Source organism: Homo sapiens, chromosome 10 (genome assembly GCF_000001405.40).
Source record: "Homo sapiens chromosome 10, GRCh38.p14 Primary Assembly".
Lineage (NCBI taxonomy): Eukaryota > Metazoa > Chordata > Mammalia > Primates > Hominidae > Homo > Homo sapiens.
Genome location: NC_000010.11, coordinates 99125441 through 99150767, shown reverse-complemented (window position 1 = coordinate 99150767; position 25327 = coordinate 99125441). Strand labels below are relative to the sequence as shown.

Below are 25327 nucleotides of genomic sequence, written 5' to 3'. Positions count from 1 at the left end.
CAGTTATGTGTGAAGAACTTAGCCTATGTTGGGGCTCCCTTGCATGTGCATATAGCCTGCTAGTCAGCCAAGCTTGCATGGAAAGCATATGTAGCTCATTTTATGTCTCCTGAAGTGCCAGAGTCTTTCTATTAAAATGTTTAGCTAGGCCAGATTTGGTGGCTCATGCCTGTAATCCCAGCTCTTTGGGAGGCTGAGGCGGGAGGATTGTTTGAGACAAGGAGTTTGAGACCAGCCTAGGCAACATAGTGAGATTTCATCTCTACAAAAAATTTTTAAAATTTAGCCAGGTATGGTGGTGTGTCCCTGTAGTCCTGACTGTTTGGGAGTCTGAGGTGGGAGGATTGCTTGAGCCTAGGAGTTCGAGCTGTGGTGGGCTATGCCACTACACTCCAGCCTGGGTGACAGAGTAAGACACTGTCTTAAAAAATTTTTTTGGCTGGTCTGCCAGTCTGTCATTTGTCTCAACCAGAACTGCCACCTTAGGCTAGCACTGCTGTGGGTTACTAACTGGTTAGTTTATGGAAAAGTTGTGGAAGAAAGAATAAAGAACAAAAATACAAATGCTTTTATACCTAGATGTCCAGAAATAATTATAGACAATAAATTGATTCTAGTGCATCAACTTTGGTGCAAGATGCCCGCTCCTTTGTTGCATCTGTCAGGGTATATATTGGGTATTTTGGCATCCTTGAATTGTATACTAGGGTAAGGATCATAAGGGGAGATGGGAAGAGGAGTATGGATAGCTTCATATTTGGACCCAAGTTTGGAACTCTACTTTGATTACATAACAACAAAGAACATCTGTAAGAGGGAAGAACTAGCAGGGGGAATGAAGAGGTTTAGAGATCATCCAGGCCAGAAACTCCCCAGTTTGGTGTACCAGGAGAAAAAAAAAAAACAAGCATAGGGTTTTTAATTTTTCGTTTAGAGTTTTATGATTATTTGGTAAATTAGTTAAATGTATATCTAAGTTTTCTGGCTTTGAGTCTTTATTCTTTGTATTATGTCTGATAAAGACATAAGAAAAATACACATTTTTGTGGAACCATAAAAGTGTTGAAATGACCTAAAAGAATAATACTATCCTCCAATAATAACTTTCTGATATTACAATGTGATGTTATTATTGACAACCACTGAAACATCTGGCACTTGTTGAATTCCTAATATGTCTCTATTACTGTGATAAGTTCATTACAATTAAGCTATTGGTATTTTCATGTTTCTAAAAAAGGAAATTCCCTTCTTTATTAGGAAATGCATTGAGAGATTTAGTGGTTTGTCCAAGAGCTCTCTGATAGTAAGTACTAGAGGGATCCAAACTTGTATATATTTGAATTCGAAACCTGTGCTTTTAACCATCCTGCTGTATTGCTTCACATAATATAGGTGAAAATACCTAATCTTGTATCTGGCAGGTTTTAATATCTGTATTGAAATTACTTCATTATGCCTGGGTCACCCATTCTCTGCTTGAATATCTCCAGGGATGGGAAACTTACTCCTTCATGAAGTAGTCCTTTTCCTTATTTGACAGCTTCTGTTGTTAAAAAAGTTTTCTCACGTGGAACTGAACAGGTTTGGTTCTTGGGTACTCCCATAATGTTTGGCTTTTTAGATTTCCACAGAATAAGTCAACTATTTCTTCTGTATGAGAAAGCAAGTCATCTTTGGCTCTTTCTTTGCCAGGCTCAGTTTCAGCTATTTTTTTTTGTATAAATATATATATTTATTTTTTAAACTTCAATAGTTTTGGGGGAACAGGTGGTGTTTGGTTACATGCATAAGTTCTTTAGTGGTGATTTTGGAGTTTTGGTGCACCCATCACCCAAGCAGTATACACTGTTCCAACAGTGTATAGTCTTCCATTCCTCACCTGCCTCTTGCCCTTCCCTCTGAGTCCCCAAAGTCCATTGAATCATAGTTTCAACTATTTTATTGATTGATTGATTGATTGATTGATTGATTGATTGAGTGGAGTTTCGCTCTTTTTGCCCGGGCTGGAGTGCAATGGCGCGATCTTGGCTCACTGCAGCTTCTGCCTCCCAATTTCAAGTGATTCTTCTGCCTCAGCCTCCCGAGTAGCTGGGATTACAGGCATGCGCCACCATGCCTGGCTAATTTTGTGTTTTTAGTAGAGACGGGGCTTCACCAGGTTGGGCAGGCTGGTCTCAAACTCCAGACCTCAGGTGATGCGCCCACCTTGGGCTCCCAAAGTGCTGGGATTACAGGCGTGAGCTACTGCACCCGGCCAGTTTCAGCTATTTTAAAAGATCAACATTATTTTCCATATTTGTACTTTTCTTTGGACTTACTCTAGACTACCAGGATTCATCTGAGACTATTATAGCTGGAAATATGTAATACCACAAGCAGGATACTAATAACAAAAATAATTATAGGTACTCTTTATTGTGCTCTTATTGTATGCTTAGTGCAATGCCTTTTGTGTATCTGTACAATAACAGTAGCTAAAGAAATGTAATCTTAGAAAGGTGTTTTGTCTGCCACTTTTGTAACTAATAAGTGAATACCAAGCCAGGATTTGAACAGAGGTCTGCTTAACTCCAAACTCTTCACTGTGTTGCACTTGGGAGGCAAGGAATGTAGCACAGCTGTGTTGCCTTCTTTATTCTGCATGTTCTGGTTCTGTTAATTTAGACTAAGATTGCATTAATCATTTTGGCAGCAATATCATAGCACTGACTTATATTAAGCTGGTATTCAACTAAAGCCTACAAATCTTAGTAAGATCTTAAGTATATGAGCTTCTGTTTGGTCTGGCTTTCCCATCTTAAATCTTACATCATTAATTTTCAGTATAAATGTAGGATTTGTGTTCATGTCTTTACCTTCCATTTTTGGGATTTCAGCCTAAGTTTTTAGATTTCCAAGATAATTTTGAATTTTGAGTGTGTCATACATGATACTAACTCTTCCTCCAGATATATTACCATGTGCTTCTTTGATAAGTATCTTTGCTTTGTGTTTATCTAGTCATTGATACAATTTCAAGCAGATTAGAGTTGAATAAGGAATTCATACTTTTACTTTAGATACAGCATATCTATTTTTTTCCCTAAACATTTTTGAAATCTGCTTTTCTAAAGTTTAGGGCATACGTTTGGCCATGTTCATAGTTTTCCTTTCTGACTGTTATTAATATAAAGGTAATGTAGTTACTTTATTTCAAGGTTCTTGTTGGAATGATGTTGAGGATATCAGTTGTAATTGTTGCTTCTGCTGCATTCTGAGCAATATATTTATTAGATAGGAAATAGGGAGTTTAGTTGGTGTTCTACTCTTCAAATTAGACTTGTGTCAGAAGATATCAGGGTAATTGAAACTCTCCTTCACTTTTTATAGTATGTTTTGATACAAGTTTTATAATTTTTTCTGAGAAAGCATTCATATTTCTTTTCCACACGAACAGTCTATGGAATACCATTGTAACAGTATAACTCAGTTTTTCTTTTTAGTTCTTCCTTTTATTGTTTAATGTAATTCTACTCTTAAGCTCATGAGTTTCATATAGGAGCTCTGGAAAGAGCACTGAAATTGGCTTTGAACATCCCTGGATTTGAGCACTGACCAGGTTTTGTGAACTTGTGCAAGTCAAGCTTTGTGGACCTCAGTTTCGTCGTATTTAAGATAGAGGCAATAATAGTGTTCTTTATCATTTAGGATTATACAACAGGTTACAATTTTAAAAACAGTTAACTATTAATGACTTACATAAATAGTATATTTGTCTCATGACAAGAAATTAAGAGATAGGCAGTCTAGCACAGGTATGGTAGGTCAATAAAGACATTAGGGACTTAAGCTCTTTACATTTTTCTGTTCAACACTTTTAGTGTGTAATCCTTTACCCTCTTGCTTATTTTTATTTTTATTTTTTTTGATGGAGTCTCACTCTTTCACCCAGACTGGAGTGCAGTGGTACGATCTCGGCTCACTGCAACCTCCGCTTCCTGCGTTCAAGTAATTCTCCTGCCTCAGCCTCCTGAGTAGCTGGAACTACAGGCGTGTGCCACCACGCCCAGCTAATTTTTGTATTTTTAGTAGAGGTGGGGTTTCACCGTGTTGCCAGGCTGGTCTTGAACTCCTGACCTCAAGTAATCCACCTGCCTCAGCCTCCCAAAGTGCTGGGATTACAGGCGTGAGCCACTGTGCCCGACCCCTACTCTTGCTTCTTAACTCAAGGTTACAAAGTGGCTACTAGAACTCTGGGCTTCATGTCTATATTTTAGACATAGAGAATAGGAGGGACTAAAGGACTAAAGGGAAAAACTGAGTTTCTCTTAGTGAGGCTCTCTCTTTTAATCTGGCAAGGGAAGTCCCCCTTTAAGATGTCGGCCTGCAGCTCATTTTCCAGAACCATGTTACATAACTACCCTTTTCTGCAAGGAAAGCTGGGAAATTGTATAGTGTAGTTTTTCAGTCTCTATAATAGATGAAGCCAAGGGAGAAGGGATTGTGTTTAGGGTTTGGGTCAGCCAGTCAACAATGTCTGCCATTTACTTTGATAATATTTTTGGAAGGATCCAATGAGATGATGTAATCCAAAAAATTTTATAGAACGTAATTTATATAAATGTAAACTGCATTATTCCTCTTGACTTCTATTGGATTGTCTTAAAAGCTAGTATATTCTTGAACTTATTTATACAATTTTTGTATTTAAGTCTCAGAAAATCTGTGAGACTAGTTATTTGTTAAATGAGTTCATTTTATTACCCATATTCAAGAAATTGGTATATACATGTTTAGGCATAAATACTGCATAATTTCTACTCAGCTCTCCTGTTTTAATCTAAGAATTAGTGAGGACCATTTTCACATCTGGCTTATCTTTGTGTGCCACACATCCTAACTCTCATAGTCATGGGTTTGTATTTATACCTGGGCTTTTCTTTTAGAAATCTGAAAGAAAAGACTACTTCTCCAGAACAGTGTTTCACCCTTTTCACCATATGCCCTATTTTCTCTTAAGTGTCACTGAATATAGCTTTTCTTTTAGTACCATTAACATGGGCATTAGTTTTATTCTTTCCAAAATCATTGGTGTCAAAAGTGGCAAAGCAGTTATTTTTTAGCGCCTTCTATTAAAATTCTTCAGTTTTGTTATGCAAAACTTGAAAGTTTTTAGAGTTGCCACCTAGATTACTGCTGATGGTATCATTTGTACCTATGAGAATCAGTTGAATTATATTTTAATTTGTAAAAAATTAATAAATAACTTTAGGGCATAAGAGCTTCCTGCTAATTGGGAAGCATTCTTCTTCTTCTTTTTTTTTTTTTTTAAGACAGAGTCTCCCTCTATTGCCCAGGCTGGAGTGCAGTGGTGCAATCTCGGCTCACTGCAACCTCCACCTCCTGGTTCAAGTGATTCTCCTGCCTCAGCCTCCCAAATAGCTGGGACTACAGGTGTGTGCCACCACACCCGACTAGTTTTTTTGTATTTTTAGTAGATACAGGGTTTCACCATATTGGTCAGACTGGTCTTGAACTCCTGACATCGTGATCTGCCCGCCTTGGCCTCCCAAAGTGCTGGGATTACAGGCGTGAGCCACCACGCCTGGCTGAAGCATTCTGTATGAATTTTTCTTTTTGAGGAAGCTGTTTTCTGGAGACTATATCTGCTTTGAATGAAAATCATTCCGAAGTATAAAAAGCAGTATGGGAAAATAATTGGGGAAAAGGCAGATCTTCCATGACTCTAGACCTCCTGTGCTCTCTTCAGTGACTCAAAAAATATTTTTGGTTTGAAAGAATGATTATTAAGTCAGAATTAAACTATTTTACTCGAGGTACATGAAAAATAGCAGAAAAAACCATGACCAGGTAAGCCATAGATCGGCAGCTCTAACTTGAGCTGAGTAGGCTGGCTGGCAGGTGAATTTAAAAATAGACCAAGTATCCTAAATACACATGCTGGAGCTATCACCTGGTCCTGTAGCACGAGGTAGAGAGAATGACCTTCATAATTACCAGTATTCAAAATTGTATTATAATACTTTTTCCCATGGAAAACGGTAAGATATGTTAAGAAAAGGCCCCAGGAGGTAAACAAGTCCTGAAGGGCTGGGAAGGAGAATTGAGGAGTGAGAATCTTAAATGATGTCAGAAAGAGCTAAGAAACAGATAGATCTCCAAAGAATTTGGAAATGACCAGAGGAACTTTCAGGATGTGTCATGGAGTTGGAGAGCCTTCTGATTACTTCTGCATCTCTTTAGGTTGATGAAAATGCTGGTAGCTTATTAATTCTGTCATTTTGGGTGAAACAAGACTTTGATGATGTATTATTTTTTGTTTTGTTTTAGTTTTTGCTGCCTGCCTTCTTTCTTTCTTTTTGTAGACATTGTTCGAAGTGATGTTGCCTTAGATAAACAGAAAGGCTGCAAGATTGCCCAGCACCCTGATGTTATGCTGGAGCTCCAAAGGGAGAAGGCAGCTCAGATGCATCTGGTTCTTCTAAAGGAGCAATTCTCCAATACTTACAGTAATCTCATATTAACAGGTAAGGCTATTGGAGTTGGTTGAAATCTTAGAGCATTCAGTTAGTAACTTGTTTTTTGGGGTACACATCTGTCTGTCTACACCCACTATATCACTTTTTAAATTGTGATGACTTGTCTTTCTATTACAAATATTCCTTGTAGTTTGCAGATATATTTTGGTTTGAAGTTATGGGTGATTCAGCATGTGTTTTCTTCTCAAAACACAGAACTGATGAAAACCTATTGAAGCCTTTAAAAATACGACTTTCTAAATGTATGCCAGTAGATTTGAGAGAATTACTAAATTTGGTGTCTTTTAAGAAGCAGCTATTTTCCTCTTTCTGTGTATGCCCTTTCTATGAACCCAGTGAATATAAAGATGAAATGTAAAAGAGATAATGGTCTTCAGGCAGAGCAGAGAATGTTCTATTCTTGGTGGAGTTTGGAAATATCTGGGGAATTTGATTTTCTTCTTAAGAGCAAAGAGGCTATGAGACTGAGCCGTGCTCCCTTATATCCTTGATTCTAGGAGGAAAGTGAATATGTGTCAGAGCTACAAGGAGAATCAACTTTTTTCAAGGCTGCTTGCAGACTTGCTGGTAATGAGCAAATGAGCTGCATGGTTTTGTCAGGCTTTGGAAAAGATTATAATAGCAGAATCTTATGTGAGAATCATTAAGGATTTGAGATGAACTCAGAAGAGCAGTCCAAGTTACCTCCATTTTCTTGAGACCACATAAGGCAGACCTACGTTATAGTGATCCAAATAAACTTTAACAAATCAAAAGTATGTGTTTTCCCTTGTTTATGAATATTAAAAAAATAAAAAGATGGATTGTCTGACAGGCTATGAACATCTCACACTTATTTTTGTAAGCTCTAAGTTAGGAAAACTTTAACTTTTTTTTTTACAGACTTCTTGGCATGTCACCAGGAATTGCTGAGTGGCAACCAAATTGTTTTGCTTTTAGAAAAGCACAGGACTCTTCCAGCTTTTCATCTTGTACCTGGTGAAAAACCCAACAGCATGAGATGAAAGCCAGACTTAAATGTGGCTTTGGTGAGCAGAAAAGGGGATTATGGATTTCATAAGTATAGGCCCTGTTTTTTGCTCTTTGATAGGTCATTAAGAAGGGAAAACTTAAAAGTGATTTATGGCCAATGCATGTATTTCCCTAAATTGGTTAGTGAAATTGGGTTTAAGTTTAGATGTTTGGGAAGAGCATAGATGTTTCTTCAGGTTTTTTCAGTCAACCTCATATGTATTTGTGCATGTGTGTGTGTGTATAAATACGTGCGTGTGTGTGTGTAATATTTTCCAATTCAGTGAGTGGAAATGAAATATTTTTATTCCATCTTTATTCTAATATTTTTAGGCACTTATAAGAGGGGTCAGACCTTGTGTTCTTTAATGTGGTATAGAAAGGGCTTAGGGTAATTCTAACCCTAAACCGAGGCTCCAGAGTATGGCTTGAAGGCATATTATCTTTGAAAACACAAGTGTTCTATTGAGTTTAGTGGAATCTTTTCTAATTCTCAGTAACATAATCCCTTTGGATGTTTATTCGCAGTTCAAACTGTTGGAATCAACATTGTCAACTTTTACCCTGACAACTTGCTTACTTTCTACTAAACAAACTTACCCTAGAGAAGAGCCTCTTTCCTGCTCTCACTTCTCCTAAGCTGCTTCAAAGAGTCCTCAGGCATTTTCCACATTTTTCACCCAAATGCCTGTGCAGAGGTGGTACCTTGCTGCAGACAGAGCATTCTGCATGTCCTCATTTATTTACATGAAAGTTCAAAAGGTTTTGATTCCAGGTGTTGGGAAGAGATGGAGCCATTTCAGTTTAGCACCAATGGTAAAACTATTTTAATTTCCTTTAACTAAGTCTTTGATTTTACACAGTGTGGTTTTCTAATTGTTATGAAGTTTAATCCTTGATTTCTTGTATAAATCTTGAGAACATGGTCTCCAGACAGCTAAACATAATATTTAAACATAACTAAACTAACTTTTGTAAATATTTCCCTTTTCAGTGATGAATGTATATTGGTAAGGAGGGTGAGGTTGAAGGGGCAGGGACCTCTCAAATGAAGTGACTTTCTTTACCAGCACATTCAGAACACATAGTCCAGGATTTCTTTCTGTATAAGTCTGGCATAACCTTGAAATATCTGCAATGAAAGTATTTATGTGCGAACACAATGAGGAAACTGGGCCTCTGCAATCTCAGAAAGAGATCACTTTTTACATCCTTCTCCTCTACCCACCAGTTATTTATAGAATTTTATGTGTATGGGTGTATAGTAATTGTTTTCTGGTCAGTTACTGGTATATTCTTTATTTTAAAAATGGGACAACTAAGATATCAGTATAGTAACAAAAATTAAGTGATTCAAGTGTCAGATGGTTAAAAGCATGTTAAAAATGATAGTTGTTGAGTTCCACCTCACAAGCAAGTCCTCATTCTTTGATGTTCCACCTTTACCTGATGTGACTGTCAGCTGTTGATGGGAGAGGCATGCCTTCATATTCTGCATTACAGCTAATGATCCCTGTTAAACAGCCACTTATTTACTCCAGATAAGGGCAAATTGTATTCTAGCTTTGAAGGTCTTTTAACCATTTAATAAAAGAAAACAACTCTACAATTGTTAGTGATAGCCCAGTTAATGGAAATAATAAAAACTAATACAATTTAATATATATACTTCGTTGAAGTATTCCTTATTACATTGTATTTGTAGAAAAGTAGATTCTTTTAATATATTTTTGCATAGTTTTAAACTTGTCTTAATGTTTTCATGTCAATGGTTTATATGATACTGGAAATAATGTTAGCCTCACCTAGCCTAGAGGGTTTTTAAAGTAAACTCTAAGGTTACAGGGAGATGATGGAGTAATTCCAGTAGAGCATCAGTGATGGAACTGTTTTAAATGGTGATGAGTCATGTACTGCACTTTTCCCACTGACTCACCTATGGGGGCGTATATGTTTGTCCTGCAGTTTCTTGAGCTGGAGAGTGTTGTTATTGTGCATGTCACTCAAGGAGTGGCTAATGAGAGGGAGAATTGGGTAGGAGACTTTAAAAAAAGAACAGGAATCAGATGTGTTCTTTGTGCTCTCATGATTCTTAATACAACAATGCTCTATAAATTTGTTGAAAATGTTCTACTGTGTACATAAAGAATGAATTCATTAGAAGACTACTTTTTTTCTGAGACAGAGTCTTGCTCTGTCACCCAGGCTGGAGTGCAGTGGCACAATCTCGGCTCACTGCAAGCTCCGCCTCCTGGGTTCAAGCGATTCTTCTGCCTCAGCCTCCGGAGTAGCTGGGACCACAGGCAAATGCCACCACATCCGGCTAATTTTTGTATTTTTAGTAGAGATGGGGTTTCACCATATTGGCCAGGGTGGTCTCAAACTCCTGACCTTGTGATCCGCCCACCTCGGCCTCCCAGAGTGCTGGGATTAAAGGCGTGAGCCACCGCACCCAGCCAGAAGACTACTTTTTAGGTATAATATTGACGTGTATTAAATAACTTTTATGGGTTCGAATTCAGTTGTCTCCCTTAACCTTGCTCCCTCCCCTTGAGGTATAAATTGAACTTTTGAGGTAGATCCTTGTGCTGTAATCAAATGAAAAACATAAAAGTTAAGTCAACCTTATGGGGAAATAACATTTCTAGGATTTTGTTTAGAACATAAACTCCTAGAAGGCAAGGAATATCATATGTGTGCAGCATTCTGGATTGCATGTAAAGCATAGTGAATGATCCTGAAATGAGGTCAAATTTCTAAAAATTTATTTGTGTTGTGAAAGTCATCTAGTCAACTGTCTGTATCCAGACAGCTTGAAACTGTAGCCAATAATTATAGATGGATGGCATTACACAAGACACTTTCTAATATTCCTTTATGAGGATTCTTGTCATGTGTTGGCTGCCATTTTTGGTTTTCTACCTCTTCATTCAGTCATTAGACTCCAAACTGGACTGAGATTCCAATGGTTGGCTTTATAGTGTTACTGTGGCAAATAAATTAAGCAAAAGAGACTTCCACTTCCAGTTGTGGCCCATTCTATTAACTTCAATTGAGCAACAGTGTGCAAATCAGTGAAACAAGGACTGTTTTTTCAGTTAGCACAAACCATAATTATCTGGGGACTATTGCTACTTTATCAAAGTAAAATAATGTTTAAAAAAACACCTTGAAAAGTGATTATGTAGCATTGTGTGCTATTTATTTGCATGTTTATTAAAATACTATAGAGTGATGTGGATTATATCACCATTATTTTACTTTGTCTGATAAAGTTGGAAGCAAATGCCAGGGGGATAAAACCTGGTATTAAATAGTCTGCGATCCAGGAGTTTGGGTTGTGCTGTACATTCAGTCACACCCACCTGGGTTGATATTGATACACAAATGTATTTTCCTACAAAGCAGAAAGTAAATGAAGTAGATGGTTCCTTGTCTCCTGACACTAATGTAAAATGTGACTCTTCTAGAGGGCTAAAGATTGTATCACATGTATGTATATATATATCTTAAATTTTCTAGGGAAATTTTTCCATATAAAAATTTATAGACTAGCCCCTGCAATGGTGAAAGACATGTTTTACAACTAGCTGATAAATGAAATCCTTGTGTTCGTGCTTTATAAGTAATAAATATAGTAAACATCATAACTATTCAAGCACACTTGATGGGATTTATAGTGTAATTTTGAAGTAACACACATATATATATATATTTAACCTCTCTTTTCAGTTTTAGTTTTGTTTATTCATTAATTTTTATTATTTATTTATTTAAAATGTCAACAGCTTTAGGGGTACAAGTGGTTTTTGGTTTTATGGATGAATTGTATAGTGATGAAGTCTGAGTTTTTAGTGCACCCGTCACTTGAGTAGTGTACATTCTACCCAATATCTAGTTTTTTGTTTTTCTCCTTTCTCCCCCTTCTGCTTCTGAGTCTCCAGTGTCCATTATACCACTCTGTATGCCTTTGCAAACCCATAGCTTAGCTCTCTCTTATAAGTGAGAATATACATTATTTGGTTTTCCATTCCTGAGTTACTGCACTTAGAGTAATGGACTCCAGCTCCCTGGAAGTTGCTGAAAAAGACATCATTTTATTCTTTGTTATGGCTGAGTAGTATTTCATGGTATATATGTCCCATTTTCTTTATCCACTTATTGATTGATGGGCCCTTAGGGTGGTTCCAAATCTTTACAATTGTAAATTGTGCTGCAATAAACATATATGTGAAGGTGTCTTTTTGATATAGTGGCTTCTTTTCCTTTAGGTAGATACCCAGTAGTGAGATTGTTGGATTGCATACCTTTAGCCTCTTTTAAAAAAATGATTAATTTCTGGGGTACATGTGCAGAACATGCAGTTTTGTTACATAGATATACACATGCCATGGCGGCTTGCTCCACCCATCAACCTGTCACCTACATTAGGTATTTCTCCTAATGTTATCCCTCCCCTAGCCCCCCATCGCCCAAAAGGCCCTGGTGTGTGATGTTCCCATCCCTATGTCCATGTGTTGTCATTGTTCAACTCCCACTTATGAGTGAGAACATGCGGTGTTTGGTTTTCTGTTCTTGTGATAGTTTTCTGAGAATGATGGTTTCCAGCTTCATCCATGTCCCTGCAAAGGACATGAACTCATCCTTTTTTTATGGCTGCATAGTATTCCATGGTGTATATGTGCCACATTTTCTTTATACAGTCTATTATGGATGGACAATTGGGTTGGTTCCAAGTCTTTCCTATTGTAAATAGTGCCACAATAAACATGTGTGTGCATGTGTCTTTATAGTAGAATGATTTATAATCCTTTGGGTATATACCCAGTAATGGGATTGCTGGGTCAAATGGTGTTTCTGGTTCTAGATCCTTGAGGAATTGCCACACTGTCTTCCACAATGGTTGAACTAATTTACACTCCCACCAACAGTGTAAAAGCATTCCTATTTCTCCATATTCTCTCCAGCATTTCTTGTTTCCTGACTTTTCAATGATCACCATTCTAACTGGCGTGAGATGGTATCCCATTGTGGTTTTGATTTGCATTTCTCCAATGACCAGTGATGATGAGCATTTTTTCATATGTCTGTTAGCTGCATAAATGTCTTCTTTTGAGAAGTGTCTGTTCATATTCTTTGCCTACTTTTTGATGGGGTTGTTTGTTTTTTCTTGTAAATTTGTTTAAGTTCTTTGTAGATTCTGGATGTTAGCCCTTTGTCAGATGGATAGATTGCAAAAATTTTCTCCCGTTCTGTAGGTTGCCTGTTCACTTTGATAATAGTTTCTTTTGCTGTGCAGAAGCTCTTGAGTTTAATTGGATCCCATTTGTCAATTTTGGTTTTTGTTGCCAGTGCTTTTCGTGTTTTAGACATGAAGTCTTTGCCCATGCCTACGTCCTGAATGGTATTGCCCAGGTTTTCTTCTAGGATTTTTAAGGTCCCAGGTCTTACATTTAAGTATTTGTTCCATCTTGAGTTGATTTTTGTATAAGGTGTAAGTAAGGGGTCCAGTTTCAGTTTTATGCATATGGCTAGCCAGTTTTCCCAACATTTATTAAATAGGGAATCTTTTCCCCATTGCTTGTTTGTGTCAGGTTTGTTAAAGATCAGATGGTTGTAGATGTGTGGTGTTATTTCTGAGGCCTCTGTTCTTTTCCATTGGTCTATATATCTGTTTTGGTACCAGTACCATGCTGTTTTGGTTACTGTAGCCTTGTAGTATAATTTGAAGTCAGGTAGCATGATGCCTCCAGCTTTGTTCTTGTTGCTCAGGATTGTCTTAGCCCTGTGGGCTCTTTTTTGGTTTCATATGCAGTTTAAAGTAGTTTTTTCCAATTCTGTGAAGAAAGTCAGTGGTAGCTTGATGGGGATATAGCATTGAATCTATAAATTACTTTGGGCAGTATGGCCATTTTCACGATATTGATTCTTCCTATCCATAAGCATGGAATGTTTTTCCATTTGTTTGTGTCGTCTTTTATTTCACTGAGCAGTGGTTTGTAGTTCTCCTTGAAGAGGTACTTCACATCCCTTGTAAGTTGGACTCCTAGGTATTTTATTCTCTTAGTAGCAATTGTGAATGGGAGTTCATTCATGATTTGGCTCTCTGTTTGTCTATTATTGGTGTATAGGAATGCTTGTGATTTTTGCACATTGATTTTGTATCCTGAGACCTTACTGAAGTTGCTTATCAGCTTAAGGAGATTTTGGGCTGAGAAGATGGGGTTTTCTAAATATACAATCATGTCATCTGCAAACAGAGACAATTTGACTTCCTCTCTTCCTATTTGAATACGCTTTATTTCTTTCTTTTGCCTGATTGTCCTAGCCAGAACTTCCAATAGTATGTTGAGTAGGAGTGGTTAGAGAGGGCTTCCTTGTCTTTCGCTGGTTTTCAAAGGGAATACTTCTAGTTTTTGCCCATTCAGTATGATATTGGTTGTGGATTTGTCATAAGTAGCTCTTATTATTTTGAGATATGTTCCATCAATACCCAGTTTATTGAGAGATTTTAGCATGAAGGGGTGTTGAATTTTGTCAAAGGCCTTTTCTGCATCTATTGAGATAATCATGTGGTTTTTGTGATTGGTTCTGTTCATGTGGTGGATTACGTTTATTGATTTGCGTATGTTGAACCAGCCTTGCATCCCAGGGATGAAGCCGACTTGATCGTGGTGGATAAGCTTTTGGATGTGCTGCTGGATTCGGTTTGCCAGTATTTTATTGAGGATTTTCGCATCGATGTTCATCAGGGATATTGGCCTGAAATTTTCTTTTTTTGTTGTGTCTCTGCCAGGCTTTGGTATCAGGATGATGCTGGGCTCATAAAATGAGTTAGGGAGGATTCCCTCTTTTTCTGTTGTTTGGAGTAGTTTCAGAAGGAATGGTACCTGTTCCTCTTTGTACCTCTGGTAGAATTCGGCTGTGAATCTGTCTGGTCCTCAACGTTTTTTTGGTTGGTAGGCTATTAATTACTGCTTCAATTTCCGAACTTATTATTGGTTTTTTCAGAGATTCGACTTCTTCCTGGTTTAGACTTGGGAGGGTGTATGTGTCTAGGAATTTATCCATTTCTTCTAGATTTTCCAGTTTATTTGCGTAGAGGTGTTTATAATATTCTCTGATGGTAGTTCGTATTTCTGTGGGATCGGTGGTGATATCACCTATATCATTTTTTATTGTGCCTATTTGATTCTTCTCTCTTTTTTTCTGTATTAGCCTGGCTAGTGGTCTATGTATTTTGTTGATGTTTTCAAAAAACAGCTCCTGGATTCATTGATTTTTTGAAGGGTTTTTCATGTCTCTATCTCCCTCAGTTCTGCTCTGGTCTTGGTTATTACTTGTCTTCCCTTAAATTTTGAATTTGTTTGCTGTTGCTTCTCTAATTCTTTTAATTTTGATGTTAAAATTAAAAGAATTAAATATTAAATTAAAAGAATTTAAATTGTTTTAATTTTTTATCTTTCCTGCTTTCTCTTGTGGGCATTTAGTGTTATAAATTTCTCTGTACACACTGCTTTAAATGTGTCCCAGAGATTCTGGTATGTTGTGTCTTCGTTCTCATTGGTTTCAAAGAATGTCTTTACTTCTGCCTTCATTTAGTTATTTACCCAGTAGTCATTCAGGAGCAGGTTGTTTAGTTTCCATGTAGTTGTGAGTGAGTTTCTTAATCCTGAGTTCTAGTTTGATTGCACTGTGGTCTGAGAGACTGTTTGTTATGATTTCTGTTCTTTTGCATCTGCTGAGGAGTGTTTTACTTCCAATTATGTGGTCAATTTTAGAATAAGTGTGATGTGGTGCTGAGAATGATGTATATTCTGTTGATTTGGGGTGGAGAGTTCTGGAGATGTCTATTAGGTCTTCTTGGCCCAGAGCTGAATTCAAGTCCTGAATATCTTTGTTAATTTTCTGTCTCATTGATCTGTCTAATATTGACAGTGGGGTGTTAAAGTCTCCCGACTGTTATTGTGTGGGAGTCTACATCTCTTTGTAGGTCTCTAAGAACTTGCTGAGTGTTCTTGTATTGGGTGCATATATATTTAGGATAGTTAACTCTTCTTGCTGCATTGATCCATTTACCATTACATAATGCTCTTCCTTGTCTCTTTTGATCTTTGTTGGTTTAAAGTCTGTTTCATCAGAGATTAAGATCGCAACTCCTGTTTTTTTTTGCTTTCCATTTCCTTGGTAAATATTCCTCCATCCGTTTATTTTGAGACTATGTGTGTCTTTGCAGGTGGGCTGGGTCTCCTGAATACAGCACACTGATGGATCTTGACTCTTTATCCAATTTGCCAGTCTGTGTCTTTTAATTGGGGCATTTAGTCTGTTTACATTTAAGGTTAATATTGTTATGTGTGAATTTGATCCTGTCATGATGCTAGCTGGTTGTTTTGCCCATTAGTTGATGCAGTTTCTTCATAGTGTTGATGCTCTTACAATTTGGTATGTTTTTGCCGTGGCTGATACCAGTTGTTCCTTTCCAGATTTAGTGTTTCCTTCAGGAGCTCTTGTAAGGCAAGCCTGGTGGTGACAAAATCTCTCATCATTTACTTGTCTGTAATGGATTTTATTTCTCCTTCACTTATGAAACTTAGTTTGGTTGGTTATGAAATTCTGGGTTGAAAATTCTTTTCTTTAAGAATGTTGAATATTGGCCCCATTCTTTTCTGGCTTGTAGGGTTTCTGCAGAGAGATCCACTGTTAGTCTGATGGGCTTCCCTTTGTGGGTAACCCGAACTTTCTCTCTGGCTGTGCTTAACATTTTTTCCTGCATTTCAACCTTGGTGAATCTGACGATAATGTGTCTTGGGGTTGCTCTTCTCAAGGAGCATCTTTGTAGTGTTCTCTGCATTTCCTGATTTTGAATGTTGTGCTGTCTTGCTAGGTTGGGGAGGTTCTCCTGGATAATATCCCGAAGAGTGTTTTCCAACTTGGCTCCATTCTCCTCATCGCTTTCAGGTACACCAATTAGATGTAGATTTGGTCTTTTTCACATAGTCCCATATTTCTTGGAGGCTTTTTCTGTTCCTTTTTATTCTTTTTTCTCTAATCTTGTCTTCTCTATTTCATTAAGTTGATCTTCAATTACTGATACCCTTTCTTTCGCTTGATCGATTCAGCTATTGAAACTTGTGTATGCTTCACGAAGTTCTTGTGCTGTGTTTTTCAGCTCCATCAGGTCATTTATGTTCTTTTCTCAGCTGATTATTCTAGTTAGCAATTCGTCTAACCTTTTTTCAAGGTTCTTAGCTTCCTTACATGGGGTTAGAACATGCTCCTTTAGCTCAGAGGAGTTTGCTGTTACCCACCTTCTGAAGCCTACTTCTGTCGATCTGTCAAACTCATTCTCCATCTAGTTTTGTTCCCTTGCTGGAGAGGAGTTGTGATCCTTTGGAGGAGAAGCAGCATTCTGGTTTTTGGAATTTTCAGCCTTTTTGCACTGGTTTCTCCCCATCTTTGTGGATTTATCTACCTTTGGTCTTTGATGTTGGTGACCTTTGGATGGGGTCTTTGAGTGGATGTGCTATTTTTTTCTATTTGTTAGTGTTCTTTCTGACAGTCAGGCCCCTCTGCTGCTGGTCTGCTGGAGTTTGCTGGAGGCCCACTCCTGACTGTGTTTGCCTGGGTATCACCAGCAGAGGCTGCAGAACAGCAAAGATTGCTGTCTGATCTTTCCTCTGGAAGCTTCTTCCCAGAGGGGAACCTGCCAAATGCCAACCAGAGCTCTCCTGTATGAGGTGTCCGTTAGCCCCTACTGGGAGGTGTCTCCCAGTCAGGATACATAGAGGTCAGGGACCCACTTGAGGCGGCAGTCTGACCCTTAGCAGAGCTCGAATGCTGTGCTGGGAGGTCTGCTGCTCTCTTCAGAGCCATCAGGCAGGGACATTTAAGTTTGCGGAAACTGCACCCACAGCTGCCCCTTTCCCCAGGTGCTCTGTCCCAGGGAGATGGGGGTTTTATCTATAAGTCCCTGACTGGGGCTGCTGCCTTTTTTTCAGACATGCCCTGCCCAGAGAAGGGAAATCTGGCAGTCTGGCCACAGCAACCATGCTGAGCTGCAGTGGGCTCCGCCCAGTTTGAACTTTTCAGAGGCTTTGTTTACATTGTGAGCATAAAACCGCCTACTCAAGCTTCAACAATGGTAGACGCCCCTCACCTCACCAAGCTCATGCATCCCAGGTCAATCTCAGACTGCTGGTGTGCTGGCAGTGAGATTTTCAAGCCAGTGGATCTTAGTTTGCTGGGCTCTGTGGGGGTGGGACCCTCTGAGCCAGACCACTTGGCTCCCTGGCTTCAGCACCCCTTTCCAGGGGAGTGAACAGTTCTGTCTCGCTGGCGTTTCAGGCACCATTGGGGTATGGAAAAAAATAACTCCTGCACCTAATTCGTTATCTGCCCAAATGGCCACCCAGTTTTGTGCTTGAAACTTAGGGCACTGGTGGGGTAGGGACCGGAGGGAATCTCCTGGTTTGCGGGTGTTGAAAACCGTGGGACAAATGCAGTGTCTGTGCCTGAGTTCCTCAGGCTCAGTCCCTCACAGCTTCCCTTGGGTGGGGGAGAAAATTCTCTGACCCCTTGTGCTTCCTGGGTGAGGCGACACCCCACCCTCCTTCGTCTTGCTCTCCATGGGCTGCACCTACTATCCAACCAGACCCAATGCGATGAACCAGGTACCTCAGTTGGAAATGCAGAAATCACCTGCCTTCTGCATCGATCTCGCTGGGAGATGCAGACTGGAGCTTCTCCTATTCGGCCATCTTGCCAGCAATCCCCCATTCAGCCTCTTTTAAATGATTCTTGTGATTCTGGATTTCAGGCTTCTTGAATCAATATCAAAGAGTTCATTTTTTACATTTTATTAATTTTACTTCAATAGTTTTTCGGGAACAGGTGGTTTTTGGTTACATGCATAAATTCTTTACTGGTAATTTCTTTTCTTTCTTTCTTTCTTTCTTTCTTTCTTTCTTTCTCTCTCTCTCTCTCTCTCTCTCTCTCTCTCTCTCTCTCTCTCTCTCTCTCTTTCTTTCTTTCTTTCTTTCTTTCTTTCTTTCTTTCTTTCTTTCTTCCTTTCTTTCTTTCCTTTCTTTCTTTTCTTTTTTAAGACGGAATTTCCCTGTTGTTGCCCAGGCTGGAGTGCAATGGCACAATCTTGGCTCTCTGCAACCTCTGCCTCCCAGGTTCAAGTGATTCTCTTGCTTCAGCCTCCTGAGTAGCTGGGATTACAAGCATGTGCCACCACATCTGGCTAATTTTTAAATTTTTAGTAGAGATGGGGTTTCATCATGTTGGCCAGGCTAGTCTTGAACTCCTGCCCTCAGGTGATCCTCCTGCCTCGGCCTCCCAAAGTGCTGGGAATACAGACATGAGCCACTGTACCCGGCCTTTAGTTGTGATTTCTGAGATTTTGGTGCACTCATCACCCAAGCAGTGTACACTGTAATCAGTGTGTCATCTTTTATCCCTCTCCAACTCTGAGTCTCCAAAGTCCATTGTATCATTCTTATGCCTTTGCATCCTCATAACTTAGTTCCAACTTATGAGTGAGAACATACAATGTTTGGTTTTCCAATCCCTGAGTTACTTCACTTACAATAATGGTCTCCAGTTCCATCCAAGTTGCTGCAAATGGTCTTATTTCTTTCCTTTTTATGGCTGAGTAGTATTCCATGGTGTGCATGTGTGTTTGTTTCTGTATATGTGTATATACATATATATATATACACATATATAAATATATATCACATTTTCTTTATCTACTTGTTGGTTGTTGAGCGTTTAGTCTAGTTCTGTATTTTTGCAATTGCAAATTGTGCTGCTATAAAATGCATGTGCAAGTGTGTTTTTCAAATAATGACTTCCTTTCCTCTGGGTAGATACCCAATAGTGGGATTGCTGGATCAAATGGTAGTTCTGCTTTTAGTTCTTTAAGGAATCTTCATACTGTTTTCCATAGTGGTTGTGTTTTCCCTGTTCAGTATGATGTTCACTGTGAGTTTGTCATAGATGGCTTTTATTACATTGAGGTATGTGCCTTCTATGTTGATTTTGCTGAGGGTGTTTTAATCATAAAGGGATGCTGGATTTCCTCAGCTGCTTTTTCTGTATCTATTGAGATGATCATATGATTTTTGTTTTTAATTCTGTTTATGTGATGCATCACATTTATTGACTTTGTAATGCCCAACCTGGTTTTTACTAACTCTGTTTTTAGACTCTCCCTTTTCCTTTAATCACCTAGCCTTGTTTCCACCTGAATTGACTCTCCCTTAGCTAAGAGAGCCAGACAGACTCCATCTTGGCTCTTTCACTGGCAGCCCCTTCCTCAAGGACTTAACTTGTGCAAGCTGACTCCCAGCACATCCAAGAATGCAATTAGCTGATAAGATACTGTGGCAAGCTATATCCACAGTTTCCAGGAATTTGTCCGATTGATAACTCCCAAAGCCCCGGGTCTGTCACCTTGTAATAGTCTTAAGGCCCCTGCACCTGGAACTGTTTACTTTCCTGTAACCATTTATCCTTTTAACTTTTTGACTACTTTACTTCTGTAAAATTGTTTTAACTAGACGCCCCCCTCCCCTTCCTAAACCAAGGTATAAAAGTTAATCAAGCCCCTTCCTTGGGGCCAAGAGAATTTTGAGCGTTAGCCGTCTCTTGGTTGCTGGCTAATAAAGGACTCTTAATTCATCTCAAAGTGTGGCCTTTTTCTAACTTGCTCAGGTACAACAACTTGTGTATGTTAAACCATCTCTGCATCTCTGGTGTGAAACCCACTTGATCATAGTGTATTATATTTTTGATATGCTGTTGTATTTGGTTAGCTAGTATTTTTTTTGAGGATTTTTGGATCTATGTTCATCAGGGATATTGGTCTGCAGTTTTTTGTTTTTGTTATGTCCTTTCTTGGTTTTGGTATGAAGGTGATACTGGCTTCATAGAATGATTAAGGAAGGGAACCTCTTTCTTTATCTTGTGGAATAGTGTCAGTAGGATTGCTACCAATTATTTCAATGTTCAATAGAATTCAGCTGAGAATCCATCTTCTCCTGGACTTTTTTTTTTGTTGGCAATTTTTAAATTACCATTTCAATCTCACTACTTGTTATTGGTCTGTTTAGAGTTTCTGTTTCTTTCTGATTTAATCTAGGAGGGTTGTAGACTTCCAGGAATTTATCCATGTCCTGTAAATTTTCTAGTTTGTGCACGTAAAGGTGTTCCTGGTAGCCTTGAATTATCTTTTGCATTTCTGTGGTATTGGCTGTAATATCTCCCATCCCATTTCTAATTGAGCTTATTAGGATCTTCTCTCTTCTTTTCTTGGTTAATCTCACTAATGATGTATCAATTTTGTTTATCTCTTCAAAGAACCAGCTTTTTGTTTCTTTTATCTTTTTTTTTTTTTGGTTTCAATTTCATGTAATTCTTCTCTGATCTTGATTTCTTTTCTTCTGCTTGGTTTGGGTTTGGTTTGTTCTTGTTTCTCTAGTTCCTTGAAGTATGATCTTAGATTGTTTATTTGTACTCTTTCAGACTTTTTCATGTAGGCATTTGATGCTATGAACTTTCCTCTTAGCATTGCTTTAGCTGTATCCCGGAGGTTTTGAGAAGTTGAATCACGGTTATGATTCAGTTCAAAGAATTAAAAAAATTTCCGTCTTGATTTCATTGTTGACCCAAAGATCATTCAAGAGCAGATTATTTAATTTCCATGTATTTGTATAGTTCTGAGGGTTTCTTTTGGAGTTAATTTCTAGTTTTATTCACTGTGTTCTGAGAGGATACTTGATATAATTTCAATTTTTAAAAAATGTATTGAGACTTGTTTTGTGACATATATGGTCTATCTTGGTGCATATTCTATGTGCTGATGAAAAGAATGTATATTCTACAGATGTTGAGTAGAATGTTCTGTAAATATCTGCTAAGTCCATTTGTTCTAGGTTATAGTTTAAGTCCCTTGTTTCTTTGTTGTCTTTCTGTATTGATGACCTGTCTAGTGCTGTCAGTGAAATATTGAAGTCCCCCACCATTATTGTGTTGCTGTGTATCTCATTTCATTGTTTTATAAATTTGGGAGCTCCAGTGTTAGGTTCATATATATTTAAGATTGTGATATTTTCCTGTTGGACTGATCCTTTTAGCTTTGTGTAATGTCCCTCTTTGTCTTTTTAAACTGTTGTTGCTTTTAAGTCTGTTTTTTCCGATATAAGAGTAGCTACTCCTGTTCACTTTTGGTGTCCGTTTGCATGGGATATCTTTTTTTCACTCTTTTACCTTAAGTTGATGTGAGTTGTTATGTGTTAGGTGAGTCTCTTGAAGACAGCAGATACTTGGTTGGTGGATTTTTTTTTAAAAAATGAAATTAAATTTTATTTTAAGTTCTGGGATACATGTGCAGGATATGAATATTTGTTACATAGGTAAACATGTGCTATGGTGGTTTGCTGCGCCTATCAACCCATCACCTAGGTATTAAGCCCAGCATGCATTAGCTATTTTTCCTAATGCTTTTCTTCCCCTTGCCACATCCCCCAGCAGGCCCCAGTATGTGTTGTTTCCCTCCCTGTTCCAGGTGTTCTCACTGTTTAGGTCCCACTTATAAGTGAGAACATATGGTGTTTGGTTTTCTATTCCTTTGTTAGTTTGCTGAGGATAATGGCTTCCAGGTTCATCCATGTCCCTACAAAGGACATGATCTCATTCCTTTTTATGGCTGCATCGTATTCCATGGTGTATCTTCTGTACCACATTTTCTTTATTCAGTCTATCATTGATGGGTATTTTGGTTGATTCCATGTCTTTGCTATTGTGAATAGTGCTGGAATGAACATATGCATACATATATCTTTGTAATATAATAATTTATATTCCTTTGGGTATATACCCTGTAATGGGATTGTTGAGTCAAATGGTATTTCTGGTTCTAGGTCTTTAAGGAATTGCCACATCATCTTCCGCTATGGTTGAACTAACTTACATTCCCAGTTTGGTGGATTTTTATCCATTCTGCCATTCTATATCTTTTAAGTGGAGCATTTAGGCCATTTACATTCAACATTAGTATTGAGATATGAGGTATTGTTCTGTTCTGTATTCTAATTGTTGCCTGAATACCTTGTGTTTTTTTCCCCATTGTGTTATTGTTTTATAGACCCTATGAGATTTATGCTTTAAGGAAGTTCTATTTTGGTGTATTTTAAGGTTTTGTTTCAAGATTTAGAACTCCTTTTCGCATTTCTTGTAGTGCTGGCTTGGTAGTGGTGAATTCTCTCAGCATTTGTCTGAAAAAGACTTTATCTGTCCTTCATTTAAGAAGCTTAGTTTTGTTGGATACAAAATTGTTGGCTGACAATTATTTTGTTTCAGGAGGCTAAAGATAATACTCCAATCCCTTCTGGCTTGTAGGGTTTCTGCTGAGAATTCTGTTAATCTTATAGGTTTTTCTGTATAGTTTACCTGATGCTTTTGTCTCACAGGTCTTAAGATTCTTTCCTGTGTCTTGATTATAGATAACTTGATGACTATGTGCCTAGGTGATGATCTTTTTGCAATGAATTCCTCAGATGTTCTTTGAGCTTCTAGTATTTAGTTGTCTAGATCTCTAGCAAGGCCAGGGAAGTTTTCTCCAATTAGTCCCTCAAATAAGTTTTCCAAACTTTTAGATTTCTCTTCTTCCTTAGGAACACCAGTTATTCTTAGGTTTGTCTGTTTGACATAATTTCAAATTTCTTGGAAGCTTTGTTCATTTTTCTCAAATTCTTTTTTCTTAGTCTTTGTCCGATTGGGTTAATTCGAAAGCCTCTTTGAGCTCTGAAGTTCTTTCTTCTACTTGTTCTAGTCGATTGTTGAAACTTTCCAGTGCATTTTGTATTTCTCTAAGTGTGTCTTTCATTTCCAGAAGTTGTGATTGTTTTTCTTTATGATATCTATTTCTCTGAAGCATTTTTAATCCATATTCCATATTGTTCTTTTCATTTCTTTAAGTTAGTTCTCTCATTTCTCTGGTATCTCCTTGAGTAGCTTAATAATCAATCCCCTGAATTGCTTATCAGGCAATTCAGAATTCTTCTTGGTTTGGATCCATTGCTGGGGAGCTAGTGTGATCTTTTCAGGGTATTATAGAGCCCTGTTTTATCATATTACCAGAATTGTTTTTCTGGTTCCTTCTCATTTGGGTAGACTATGTCAGAGGGAAGATCTGGGACTCAAGAGCTGCTGTTCAGTTTCTTTTGTCCCATGGTGTGATCCCTTCATGTGGTGCTCTTCCCCTTCCCCTAGGGATGGGGCTTTCTGGGAGCCAGACTGCAATGATCATTATTGCCCTTCTGGGTCTCGCTATCAAGTGGGGCTCCCAGGCTCCAAGCTGGTTCTGGGGAATGTCTGCAAAGAGTCCTATGATGTGATCCATCTTCAGGTCTCAGCCATGGATACTAGTGTCTGCTGTGGTGGAGGTGGCAGGGGAGTAAACTAGACTGTGTCAGGGTCCTTAGTTGTAGCTATGTTTAGTGTGCTGGCTTTCTTGAATGATGGATTATGCTAGCAGTAAAGTTGTCATGTGTAGAGACTCAGAACCTCTGGTTAGCCAGGATGTTGCAGGCAGTAGAATTACCTGTTGTTTCCTTATTCTTGGGGGAGCAGGGTTATTCTGTCATGAGTTGTTGTAATGGCCTGAGTTGGTTGACCTCCAGCCAGAAGGTGGCACTTTCAAGAGAGCACCAGCTGCAACAGTAGTAAGGAGATCTACGCTTGCCATACATTGGCCAGGGTAACTATTCTGGTTTCCCAGGCGATGGGTGGGGCCATAAAGCTTGGATGAGCTGTCTTTTCTGTTCAGCTACTAGGGCAGGTAGTGAAATACCATCAGGTTGGGGCAGGGTTAGGTGAGTCTGGGCTCAGACTTGGGCAAGGCTTGCTGCGGCCACTGTGGGGGATTGGTTGTGGTTCTCAGGCCAATGGGGTTATATTCCAGAGGGGATTATGGCTGCCTCTGCTGTGTCACATAGTTCACCAGGGAAGTGGGGGCATAGCTGGTAGCAAAAGGCCTCACTCAGCTCCCACACAGTTGGTAAGGCTGGTCTTGTTCCTGCAGTGCCTCACTCAGACCTTGCACCAGGTCGTAAGCTTCCCTGCTGAGAAAGCAAGCACAGATTTCAGGCCCTGCCCCTCCCATCTGCTCACACTGTCATCACCAGCTCCTGTGCTCGTTATCTGCAGCAGTCCCCATTCGCCTCCTGGATTCTGCTCATGAAAATTCACTCCCAGTCAAAATTATTACAGATTTCAGTTGGAAGCTTCTTTCACCCTGTAGCCCCTCCCTAATTCTACTTGCTGCCTTCTCTAGGGACCCTTGAGAGATAAGTTAGGGATGACTTCCTTGGGCTCGAGCTAAAGACTAGGAGTGCCTACAAGGCTCTTCCCACTGTTGGTTCTACTTCTGTATTTTGCATGGTTCCCTAAATCCATTTCAACTATAGGTAAGGTTAAATCTTTCTCCTGTGATCTGGATTTTCAGATTCCCCATTGGGGATGTGTGTTCAGAGGCATGTTTTCCCCCTCTCACGCTTTGGGAACTCACAGTTTTTTGCCTGTGATGGAGAATTTGCAGTGGCATGCCACTTCTTTCAAAGGATCAGTGAATTCTTTCAGTTTTCCTAGTACGTTCCCATGGTGGTTCTTGGAGCAAAAGTTCACAGTGTGAATCTCCACATGCTGTTCTGTCCATGCCAGTGGGAACTGTGTATTAACCCAGTATCCAATCTGCCGTCTTCCTT

General features: G+C 38.8%; 1 protein-coding gene across 14 annotated transcripts in view; it reads left to right on the top strand.

The window, feature by feature from the left end:
• HPSE2 (heparanase 2 (inactive)) overlaps positions 1–25327 on the top strand; it is an 858875-nt gene that overhangs the window by 165184 nt on the left and 668364 nt on the right. For 10 of the 14 annotated variants that reach the window (XM_047425614.1, NM_001166244.1, XM_011540029.1 and 7 more), the window contains one exon: positions 6369–6530. The exons of 3 other annotated variants lie outside the window; for them this stretch is intronic. In XM_047425614.1, the coding sequence (XP_047281570.1) occupies positions 6437–6530 (94 nt within the window). In that variant the 5' untranslated portion in view covers positions 6369–6436. Of the gene's footprint in view, positions 1–6368; positions 6531–25327 lie in introns of those variants that run through there. One more of the 14 variants, XM_047425616.1, reaches the window with a different exon arrangement.